This window comes from Homo sapiens, chromosome 8, assembly GCF_000001405.40.
Source record: "Homo sapiens chromosome 8, GRCh38.p14 Primary Assembly".
NCBI lineage: Eukaryota > Metazoa > Chordata > Mammalia > Primates > Hominidae > Homo > Homo sapiens.
This window is the reverse complement of record NC_000008.11, coordinates 100,593,985-100,606,477: the sequence shown is the minus strand read 5'-3', so window position 1 is coordinate 100,606,477 and position 12,493 is coordinate 100,593,985. Positions and strand designations below refer to the sequence as shown.

At 41.6% G+C, this 12,493-nt stretch overlaps 1 protein-coding gene across 20 annotated transcripts in view; it reads left to right on the top strand.

Annotated features, from left to right (window-relative positions):
* Positions 1 to 12,493, top strand: part of SNX31 (sorting nexin 31) — a 90,712-nt gene that overhangs the window by 57,108 nt on the left and 21,111 nt on the right. For 15 of the 20 annotated variants that reach the window (XM_011516899.2, XM_024447085.2, XM_017013161.2 and 12 more), the window contains 2 exons: positions 6,037 to 6,129; positions 9,636 to 9,839. In XM_011516899.2, the coding sequence (XP_011515201.1) occupies positions 6,037 to 6,129; positions 9,636 to 9,839 (297 nt within the window). Of the gene's footprint in view, positions 1 to 6,036; positions 6,130 to 9,635; positions 9,840 to 12,493 lie in introns of those variants that run through there. The other 5 variants (XM_017013162.2, XM_017013160.2, XM_017013165.1 and 2 more) reach the window with 2 other exon arrangements.

The window sequence follows — 12,493 nt, the reverse complement described above, 5'->3', positions numbered from 1 at the left end:
CCCTAAAGCTCTTCTAAATTCTAAGAGGGCAAATCAAAATATCACTTATTAAATGTTTAATGTTCACCATTGTATTTTTATGGCTAGAATATAGCTTTGAGTTCATTCCGTACTATACATGAATCCAAGTATAATTATGTTCAGCCTGGAAACGGGGACACACACCTGTAATCCCAGCACTTTGAGAGGCTGAAGCAGGTGGATTACTTGAGCTCAGGAGTTCAAGACCAGCCTGGGCACTATGGCAAAATCCCATCTCTACCAAAAATGTAAAAGTCAGCCAGGCATGATGGTGTGTGCCTGTGGTCCCAGCTACTCAGGAGGCTGAGGTAGGAGGATGGCTTGAGCCCAGAAGGCGGAGGTCACTTAAGATGTGATCACGCCATTACACTCCAGTCTGGGCAACATACCAAGAACCTGTCTCAAAAAAAAAAAAATCATGTTCAGTGTACTTGATATGAGTTAGAGAAGAATTTTTCCACTTTAAATGTTTATTGAGGCCCATCCTTGCTACTGTATCCTTGCTATTATGATACATTTTTAGCTGTGTCTGGTTTGATACCATGACCTTGGATGAGATTGCATCACATAATTCTAATATCGTTCCTGTGGGAAATATCATCTTTATGGCATGTCTTTTGCTTCTCATTGTGATGAGAGGTCAGAGCTTCGAGCATCATAATGTGACTTTTTAAATCTGTTTTCATTAAAGATTTATAACCAGAGGGAAACAGATGATGGTACTTCCTCTGCTCAAAGCTAAAAAAACGTGGCTTCATGGGAGGCACACTGAATTGCAGTTTCAGAAATGAATTCTGTCCCTTGCTCTGACACTGATCCTCTCTCTGGGTGACCCTGGGCCAGCAACCGCATCCTTCTGAACCACGACATCTCCCTGTTGAGATGAGGTGGAACTAACATAATCTCTAAGTTTTCTCCAAGCTTTAATAGACTGTCATACAAACCTTAGCTCATTGCCTGGCAAAGTCTCCAAAAAATTGTAGTTGATGTCATAATAATCTTTATCATCATCATCATCATCATCATTGTTCCCTGAATCTGGGTAGAGGAGCTAAGAAGTCAAAGGTGGGTCCAAGGTCAGCAGGAGAGTCAGGACCACAATCACTGCCTCTTTTGGGAGGCCTGCCTTGGCTCTCCCCAGAAGAAAATTCCTACCTTCCTCCCACTTCTCCCAACCAGACTCTGAATGGCCAAGGGCAGAGACTGTCTCATTCCTCCTGTGTCCTGGGTGTCTGGGATATGTGAAAGACTAAGAAGTGGCCAGGCATGGTGGCTCACACTTGTAATCCCAGCACTTTGAGAGGCCAAGGCAGGTGGATCACCTGAGGTCAGGAGTTCAAGACCAGCCTGGTTAACATGGTGAAACTCCATCTCTACTAAAAATACAAAAATTAGCTGGGCACGGTGGCGCACGCCTGTAGTCCCAGCTACTCGGGAGGCCGAGGCAGGAGAATCTCTTGAACCCAGGAGGCAGAGGTTGCAGGGAGCCAAGAATATGTCACTGTACTCCTGCTTGGGTGACAGCACGAGACTCTGTCAAAAAAAAAGAAAAAAAAAGACTAAGAAGCAGTCATTCTTTAAAAAAGTTAACATGAAAAGCTCTTGAGTTGTGATAAATAATGGATCCATCATAATTAACTATTAAGGGGCACAGCTTTGATTTTCTAAAGCAGATGTGCCCAGTGATATCCAATGAGTCAACTGAATTCCCACAGCCTGTTTCCTTTCTTCTGCTCCTCTTTTAACCTGAGTTTAAAAATGAGAGATTGCATTTAAAACTATAAGTAAGTATACATTTTGAAGGCTCAGTCAATTCTGGGCCTGCATTTCAGCGGGGCCATTGCTGGCCTGGACAGTGATGCAAATTAGAAAAAGGCACCCCATCCTCCAGGTGGGGCTAGTCCTGCATCGGGGCCCATGGCTTGGTGAGTGGAGGGGGGCTGACCTTTGGCTTCCTGACTCCCCTATGGCCTGGTGACCTTGTCCAGGCACACACGTCCCTTGCCCTTCTCCACCATGCTTTCGCCAGAGCCGAGTGGCCAGTGCCGGCCTTTGAGAGGCATATGACCTCTATTTCTCACTACTGTGCCCTCTGCAGAGGACACTAGAGCGTGTGAGACTGAAGGTCAGGAAGACTATGGCTTATGTGATTTTGCTTGATTTTTAAAATTTTTAATTTTATTATTTTTTTCTTTTTTTCTATCTGCAGCACCTTTAGGATGCTTGATTTTTTAAGTTCAATTCTGCATACTCCCCTCTCAGCCAGTGTTCAGGGAACCGTGTAACTGAGTAGACTTGTCTAGACTCGACTCTCATTGTCTGGACCTACTCAGAGTGAGGCACTGTATAATATCACATTTGAGTTGATGACTTGTGAACCCACAATCAGGGTCAACTCTTTTCAAAGGTAATGATATAAAGCTGGGCGCAGTGGCTCACGCCTGTAATTCCAGCACTTTGGGAGGCAGAGGTGGGCAGAGTACCTGAGATTAGGAGTTTGAGACCAGCCTGGCCAATGTGGTGAACCCCCGTCTCTACTAAAAATACAAAAATTAGCCAGGTGTGGTGGCACATGCCTGTAGTCCCAGCTACTCGGGAGGCTGGGGCAAGACTATGGCTTAAGCCCAGGAGGCGGAGATTGCAGTGAGATGAGATCACACCACTGCACTCCAGCCTGGGCAACAGAGTAAGGCTGTCTCAAAAAAAAAAAAGGCCGGGTGTGGTGGTTCATGCCTGTAATCCCAGAACTTTGGGAGGCTAAGGCAGGCCAATCATCCGAGGTATCTGAGGTCAGGAGTTCAAGACCAGCCTGACCAACATGGTGAAACCCCATCTCTACTAAAAAGACAAAAAATTAGCCGGGCATGGTGACGCATGCCTGTAATCCCAGCTACTTGGGAGGCTGAAACAGGAGAATCACTTGAACCCGGGAGGCGGAGGTTGCAGTGAGCCGAGATTGCGCCATTGCACTCCAGCCTGGGCAACAGGAGCAAAACTCCGTCTCAAAAAAAAAAAAAAAGGTAATGAAACAAAACAGTTACATTACCTTTGCTGTAAGACATCTGCATCTCTGTGTCTGAGGATCCAGTTACTCTGATGGTGAACGACATGTCTTGGATTGGTACTTATTGCTGTGACTCCTGTTTATCCTTACACAGCCATCCCTTCTTTTCGATATTGTTCCCCTGTGCCAACAGCCCTTACTGGGCTCTACCATCAAGTACAATTCAGGAAAGAAGGCAGCGTTTCATTCTTCACACCATGCTTTCTCGTATGGTCTGTAGGTTTGGTTTGATGAAGAATTGGGGACACAGAGAAAGCCTTGGGGTGGGTAGCTGCCTACCTGGTAAGAATTCAGTGGCTTGGGCAAGGGAAGAAGGGCTTGATGTAGTGTCCAGACCTGGGTTTGCTCTAACTCCTGCCACTTACTCGCTGGGTCATCTTGAACATCATAACCTCTCTGAACCTCAATTTACTCATCTGTAAAATGGTGGTATTGTTCCTCCCCACAGAACAGAGTAGGCCCCCCTTATTCTTGGTCTTGCTTTCTGTGGTTTCAGTTACCTGCAGTCAAGCATGGTCTGAAAATATTAAGTGAAAAAATTTCAGAAATAAACAATTCATAAGTTTTAAATTGCATGCCATTCTAAGTAGTATGATGAAATGTCTTGCTGGCCCGGAACATGAATCATCTCTTTGTCCAGTTTCTTCGTGCTGTCTGCATCATCCACCCGTCAGTCACTTAGTAGTGATCTCAGTTATCACCATCCTGGTATCCCAACACTTGTGTTCAAGGCCCCAGTTTTACTTAATAATGGCCCTAAAGTGCAAGAGTAGTGATGCTGGCATATTGTTATACTTGTTCTATTTTCTTATTAGTTATTGTTGTTCATCTCTTACTGTGCCTAATTTATAAATTAAACTTTATCATAGGTATGTATATGCAGGAAAAAACATAGTATATATAGAGTTTGGTATTATCCATGACAGTACCAGGCATCCCTCCTGGGAGTCTTGGATAGTGTCCCCTGAGGATAAGGGGGACCACTGTAGTTGGGAAAAAGTCAATGATAAAGTCGATCTAAAACAAGTTTTCAACAAATATTGTTATTTTTCTTCTCCTCTCTAAATCCCATGTCCTTTTCCCCCAGCCTAAACAGCAATATTTAAGGCGTATTTAGCTTTTCATTCTTCTCTGGGAGATAAAGCATAGCCTGCCAATATCACTGAGGGATGTAGCAGATAGGCTTATGTTCAGACTAAGGTGAAAATAAGCACCTGATGATTGGCAAAGAATTGCTGGGCATTGCCATATGTAAGACACTGGGCAAGGCACACTGAGACGACGGGCGCGGGGTCTTCCCTTAGGGATTGACAGCCTAACTGAGGGACAATGGCCAATTCTGCCCCGTCATGACAAGTTAGAGCAGCACAGGCCGAGTGTGTGTGGCTGAGGAGGTGGACAGCTGATTCCACGGCCTCCCCAGGGCCAGACTGGCTAAAGGGGAAGGGAGCTGGGTGCCAAGAGGAGAGAGAAAGAGCACAGGAAAAGGTGCCTGCTCAGGGAGGGTAGGCTGAGACAACAGGCTTTGTTACTTCCACGTTTCATGTTGCTTCACCATAGTCCTGACGTGCTTCCACAGGGGGCCATTGCCTTCAAGGCGATTTCTGCCTTTGAGCCCAGTGTCGTTCTGCTGAAGCCTGCAGTGGATTAGGAAGCAACCAAGAACCCCATTAGGGATTTGGAGTTTGGGAACACTTGCTGATGATGGTTACCCTAGGCTGACCAGACAGGACCCAACAATATATTCAACTTTAATTTTTTTAATGTGAAATTAGTTTTTATCTTATAAAAAGTTTGCAAATGTGGAAGAGTTCAAAAATGAAAGTAGATGTCACCCCAAATCTTAAATCAACCAGATATATAAACTATTGATTAACTCTTTGGGTATATTTATTTCATACATTTCATGTATTTGCACATCCATTTCCTTGACTTGTAAGTATCCATATGAGGGTTTTATGTTGTTTTATATTTATTTTTTGTTGTTTTATAAAAATTAGGGTCTACTACTAGACTCTTACTTGGCAATTTGATATTTTTCATGAACATTACACACATTTCCCATGTTGTTAAATATTCTGTGTAATTTTTAATGATAGCATAGCCTATTATTTAGTTATACCCAAACTCAGTTACCCATTTTGGGGCATTTCATAACAGTACCTACATCACAGGGTGGCTGTAAGGATTGACTTTTGTTCTGAAGCAATTAGAACATTGCCTGACACATAGTAAGCACTGTACATGTGTTTGCCACTATCAAGTTGAAAATGTTTCATTGCTATAAGCAATAGCAGTAATGACCTTATCAATATATTTTTTCCAATATCTGTGTTTATGATTCAAATATACTTATTATTTGGAACTCTATTTTGTCAATTGCCAATACATAGCTGTTGCCCATTTTCCTTTTGGTGATGCTTACATTTTTCCTATTGCTTTATATAAATATTAACTGTTTGATATATATGATGCAATCATTTTCCTTGTTTTTCCATTTGATTCTTAGTTTTGTTGTTGTTGGTTTTCAGGTACAGAAGTTTTATGTTTCACATAATTATATATGACTATTTCTTCATTATGACATTTTGTTTTTATATCTTAAAAAAGATATTCCCTACCTCAAGATCAGATAAAAATATTTACCTTTATTTTTTTCCTGATTCTTTTATGGTCTTATACATTTAAATCTTTATCTGGAATTTATTTGATTAGGTGGTGTGGGGAAAGAGCTAATTTTATTTTCTTTTTTGCCAAGTGTTGCCAATTGTCCCCAAGCTGTTGAACAATCTCTTCTTACTAATTTAAAAAATAAGACTTATAATATGCTAAATCCCTAAATATATATCCACTTGGGTTTGTTTTTATATCCCTTCATACAAGAGTATGTTTTTGTCAGATTGATTAATTTCTGCTAAGACTGCTAATTTTACAACTTATGTTATTTTAAGGCAATACAGGACATTGAAAAAGGATGGGCCAAACCCACACAGGCACAGAGGCAGAAATTAGAAGCTTTCCAGAAAGAAGACAGTCAAACAAAGGTGAATCAAATATTGCTCCAAGAGAAATCCCTTGAAAGGGAGTTAAAGAAACATATTAGAATTGAACTGTTTCTGTAACTGATAAACCTACCAAGCACTAAAAGTGGGGCTCTTTTTAAAAAAATAAGAATATCTTCATTGATTGTTCTGAGTACAGAATTAATAAAAGCTTATTGTTTAAAGATTCTAAAAAAAATACAGACGGTATATTGTGAGTCCTCTGCTGAGTTAATTAATATAGATCCTCCGCATTATTTTTAGTGACTACAGAGTATTCCATTTTATGGTTATATTATCGTTTGGCTAACCACTTTTCTATTATTGGAAGTCAGGTTGTTTCCAGCTCTTGCTGCTATAAATCACTTTGGCAGCAAGAGCCATGAGGCCCAGGGCTGTGTATAATTTATACATACTCTGTGTATTCACAGCACCTGGTACAGTTCCTGGCTGAAGTCCCTGAACATTTCAACCAGCATCCTCTTTGAGTACGTGTTCTATTATTCCTTAGGATATATTTCTAAACATTCATTTTTAAAGTTTCCGTAAAGGTGTTACCAAATCACGTACCTCCTGCCCCCAAGCAGCGAATGTGTCTGACAGACAAGACGTATTTTAACAGAAGAAATGGCCTCTGTTTTGTTGTGTTGTCTTTTTAAAAATTCTTCTGACTTTGCCAATGTTCACAACTGCAACATTGATTTTTGAACGAAATACAACCAAAATTTAGAGGACTCATTTATACGTAACAGAAAATAATTCCTCAAAGGCTCAGACCTTTGAGATTTTTACTGATGAACTGCAAAAAGAGAAAAAGGAAAGGCACATACTGCCACAATTTAATATCCCCCCCACCTGCCAGCCCAGTGTTCTACCTCAGCTTTGTCACAAAAAAAAAAAAAAGAGTTCAGTTTCTCTGTGTGTTTGTAAATTTTAACAAGTGCAGCTTCTATTTTGATGGATAGAATATTGCTGTTACTTCAGATGCAATTACAAACTGTGTACACCACAACCAAGTCTTCACACATATCTGCCCTATAAACTTCTTAATTTAGTAAGACTATTGTTCTTACCATGCCCTGCCAAAATGTGTATTTGTAGTTTTTCCACAAAATAAATTTTATCTTCTATGATAAACATTTTATCTGAATTTACCATACTATTTGTAATAATGCTATTTTAAAAAAGCTTTGCTTTGAGTACATAAATTGAATTTAAAAATTTAATTATTATTGAGATTTACTTTCTCTCAAAGCATCTACATGTACTGATATGTAACCAACATTATTTGTTTGTCAAGTTCTTCTGCTAATGGAGCAAACACATTAACAACTATACTTTCTGTACAAGAAAACTTGGAAGTGAAATGAATGAAATTAACTTAAGAAAGAGTCATTTGATCTAAATCAGAGAAAGGCTGTGGTCCATGGGCCACTTATTTTGCAAATAAAGTTTTATTGGCACACAGTTACAATCACTCATTCATGTATTGTCTAAGGCTGCTTTTGTGTTGCAGTGGCAGAGGTAAGTAGTTGCAACAGGGACCATATGTCTGTATAGCTGAAAATGTTTACTAGATGGTTCTTTACATAAAAGTTTACCAATCCCTGATCAAAATGAAAATATATTAATATAAACATACTTTCTGCAGCTGTGTATGTTAAATTGTCTTTTTTAGGTACAATCTTAACTAATTTTCAAGTAGAGAATCCTTGTAGAATTCTGTCTTCTGGTGTTCATATAGTTAGTAATATCACAACACCCTTTTATCGAATGTCAAATGCCAACAGGCATTTTACATAAGTTACTTACTCATCACCACCTTTCTTGCAAAATAGAGCTTCACTTTTAATTAAACAAACACTTTCCTTTCTTTTAGCTCATTGCAGCCAAGAGATTATTACAATTTTAAAGAAGTGTTATCAAACAATAAGATAAACAATTATAAATTTATACCATATCACTTAGAAAGTGTTGTAGCAAAAGCATGACACTACTCTCTGTCTGCTCTGTGACAAGATGACTCAGCTCCTGCCCCCAATCACTGCGCAAGTACCATGTACTTACAACCTGTCCTTTCTGATGTTTCTCACTGACCCAACTGAAGGCCAGCACCTTAATGCATCTCCCAAGCTGAAGCCTGGACCATAGCACAATGAGCTGGCACATGTGGCTGGATGGGACAGTGGCTTTGAATACTCCTGCCAGCATGAGATCAGGAGTCAGCTGTCCCTTACTGCTTCTGACTCAGCCTGTTTCACTGTATCAGAGAACGCCTCCGGAGTCCTTGTAAAGGAGGTGTGAGTTACCTTGCTTCAAGAAAGGATCACAAGTTGTCACTAGGTAGTCCTCTTTCTGATTTAACCATGTGCTAAAGTGGGAACTCTGTTCTCCACATGCACATCTCACATACCATTAGGCCAGGCCCATGGCGAAAGCTGGAAGAACAGAGTGGAGTTCACCAAACCTATACCAGCTTATTTAAATGCAATCATTAACAAAATGGAAAGCCCTGGACAGACGTTAATGTGACAGGATGCCTTGATCAGTGGTGTGAATGCAACTGTCCTCAGTTCTTAGGTTACTTCAGAAGCAGAGGGAAAAGCTAAATTTTAAAAGTCTTCCCTGGGCAACTGGGGGAATCTCTGGAATTCTATTTAGAAAGCAGACCAGCTCGTGCCCTCATTGCCATTTCTAAAATCTCTTTCTCTGGCAATTACTACCACCATCATATAAAGCAGCCTGTAGAAATGAACCACTTTTCTTCCTACATAGATCTCAGCTTAGTTTTTTAAAAGCCAACATTTTAGGCCAGGCACAGTGGCTCACGTCTGTAATCCCAGCACTTTGGGAGGCTCAGGCAGGTGGATCACGACAAGGTCGGGAGATCAAGACCATCCTGGCCAACATGGTGAAACCCTGTCTCCACTAAAAATACAAAAATTAGTTGGGTGTGGTGGCACGTGCCTGTAATCCCAGCTACTTGGGAGGCTGAGGCAGGATAATCACTTGAACCAGGGAGTCGGAGGTTGCAGTGAGCCGAGATCGTGCCGCAGCACGCCAGCCTGGGTGATAGAACGAGACTCCGTCTAAAAAAAAAAAAAGCCAATGTACACTTTTTTGTTTACTTGCTATTATAATCTGCTGAGACAGAATCATATCTGTTCATCCATTTTATGGACTCTTTTCTTCATTCTTCATTTACTCATGGAATATTTTCATTTCCACTGTGTACCAAGCACCATAACAGGGGCAGGGACACAGTGGTGAAAGAGGCAGGAATGGTCCCTTCCCTGGAAGGACACTCCATGAATTTCCCCCGGGCTTCTGGTGAGCACCAGGGGCATTATCTCTATGTGTAGGATCAAGAAAAGGAGCTTTCACTGTGACTCAGTTCCATGTATTATCCTAGAATGGCAGTAGCTTCTGACATGAGGTTTTCATCTGTTTCAAGTGGTCTTTTGCTTCCTCTTGCCTCCCCTCCCCCCACATCACCCTCTTTGGAGCAGTTTTTGGAGCTGGCCCGGGAGGTACGGCACTATGGATACCTGCAGCTGGATCCTTGTACCTGTGACTACCCAGAATCAGGCTCTGGAGCTGTTCTTTCTGTTGGCAATAATGAGATCAGCTGCTGCATCACCCTGCCTGACAGCCAGACCCAGGACATCGTTTTCCAGATGAGCAGGGTGAAGTGCTGGCAGGTCACTTTCCTTGTGAGTATCTTGGCACCTTGCTTTGCCCATGACTTAAAAATCCTAGTACCCTTGGATGACAAAGTTGACACTAGGGAGACAGGTTTGCCATTTGAATCTGTACCTTGAGTGGAGTGACATCTAAGCCACATTAAATATCACCTAGTGGTAAAACCTATCTGTAGTCTGATGCACGTTCCCCACCCAGAGAAGCAGAGACATTGATCTTTCCACCTTCCTAACAACAGGCCTCCCTACTGCTTGAAGGGTGGCTGTAGTAATAACAGCAGATGGCAATAACAGCTACCATTTATTGAGCACTTACTACGTGCTCAGTGTTGACAAGGTCTCTACCCTTCAAGACTGGCACTGACTGGCAGAGCTCTTCTTACAACACCTTGGCATCATGCTTGCATTGCCAGCTTCTCCCAAGAGAAACCCTTATTAGATTTATTGAGTGCCCACTTTGTACCAGGGGCTGCGCTGCACTGTCTCATCTATTATTTAATTCAGCCTATAAGACCCCAGTGAGCTAAGTGGTGTTATCCTCTTTACACAGGAAACTGAGGTTAACTAATAGAGGGCAAAAGCTATCAGAGCATGACACCCACTTGTTAAATCCATGGAATCCCTGGCGATTTTTTAGCTGGGCTCATACTTGACCTCTCTGTGGCATTCGATACTGTCAACCATTTCTTACTTCTCAAAGATCTCTCTCCTTTCTCCCCTACTTTTGTAGGCCACTTCTCCCTCTGAGCATTCCTGAAATTCTGGTGTTTCTGGCATTGCATTCTAGCATCATTCCTCTACATATTCTCTGAAATCAATGCCCAGACCCTGCTCAAAGGCCCAGTTTTTTCTACCTCTGGATGCCTTCAACCAGGTGTCTCACAGACATCTCAAACGCAGCCTTTCCCTGAAGCAGACGAGTCCTTTTCCACCTTATGCCTTTCATGGGGTTCTTCTGTCTGTGTTCCCTACTTGGTCAAGGGAACTTCCACTACCACACCCTAATTGCCAAACCAGAAATCTTGAAGTTATCTCTGACTTTTCTCTTTCTCTGACCCTACACATTTAAGTGCTAATGGAGGCCTATCCATTCTATACTTTGCTGTCCCTCAAAAGTCTCCCTTACCAGCCCAGGCAACATGGCAAAATCCCATCTCTACAAACTAATACAAAAATAAACCAGGCATGGTGGTGTGCACCTGTGGTCCCAGCTACTGGGGAGGCTGAGGTGGGAGGATCTCTTGAGCCTGGGAGGCAGAGCCTGCAGTGAGGTGAGATTACATCACTGCACTCCAACCTAGGCAACAGTGAGACCCATCTGAAAAAAAAAAAAAAACAACAAATTCCCTCTATCTCCGCACTCACAGCTTGGTCTCAACATGCCCTGTGTGGATGGATTGAACAGTTTCCTAATTCTTCTCCCTACACCACTCTTTCCTCCTGGAGGTCAGAAAAAATATATTGTATGATCTTAGCCCTTTGAAACGTATGGAAACGTGTTTTGTGGCCCCAAATTTGATCTATCTTGGTAAATGTTTCACATGTATCTTAAAAGAATGTGCCTTCCATTTTGGGTAGAACATTCTATAAATATCAATTGCCTTAGGGATTGGCTCATTTTTGCTCTGCATAATTTGTTGGAAGTTCATTCAGGTTGCTGACTATATCAGTAGTTTGTCTCTTTTTATTGTTGAGCAGCAGTCCATGGTCTGGATGTGCCAAAGTTTGCTTAACCATTTACTCATTGAAGAACCTCTGGTTGTTTCTAGTTTTTAGCTATTATGAATAGAGCTGCTATAAATCTTCACATACAGGTGTTTGCCTGGCCATGAGTCTTCATTTTTCTGGAATAAATGCCCACAAGTGCAATTGCTGGGTCGTACGGTAATTGCATGTTTACTTTTTAAAGAAACTGCCGAATTGTTTTTGAGAATGGCTACATCATTTTACATTCCCACCAGCAATGTGTGAGTGAACCAGTTTTCTGCATTCTCACCAGCATTTGGTGTTGTCACTATTTTTTTTATTGTAGTCATTCTAATATATGTGTAAAGATATTTCATTGTGACTTAAGTTTGCATTTCACTATGGCTTATGATGCTGAATATCTTCATGTGTTTATTTGCCATCTGTATATCTTCTTTGGTAAAATGTCTTCTCATATCTTTTACCCATTTTTGAATTGGATTGTTTGGCTTTTTACTGTTGAGTGTTGAGAGTTCTTTATGTATTCTAGATACTTGTTCTTTGTTGGCCATCTGGTTTCCAAATATTTTCTCTTACTCTATAGTTTCGGTTTTGTTGTTGTTGTTGTTGTTTGTCTGTTTCCTTGTTTTGGTTTTGTTTTGAGACAGAGTCTTGCTCTGTCGCCCAGGCTGGAGTGCAGTGGTGCAATTTCAGCTCACTGCAGCCTCCACCTCCCAGGTTCAAGGGATTCTCCTGCCTCAGCCTCCCAAGTAGCTGGGATTACAGGCATGCACCACCAGGCAGGGCTAATTTTTTGTATTTTTAGTAGAGATGAGGTTTCACCACGTTGTCCTGGCTGGTCTCAAACTCCTGACCTCAAACAATCTGCCTGCTTCGGCCTCCCAAAGTGCTGGGATTACAGGTGTGAGCCACCACACCTGGCCCACTCTATAGTTTTTCATCCTCTTAAACAAGGTCTT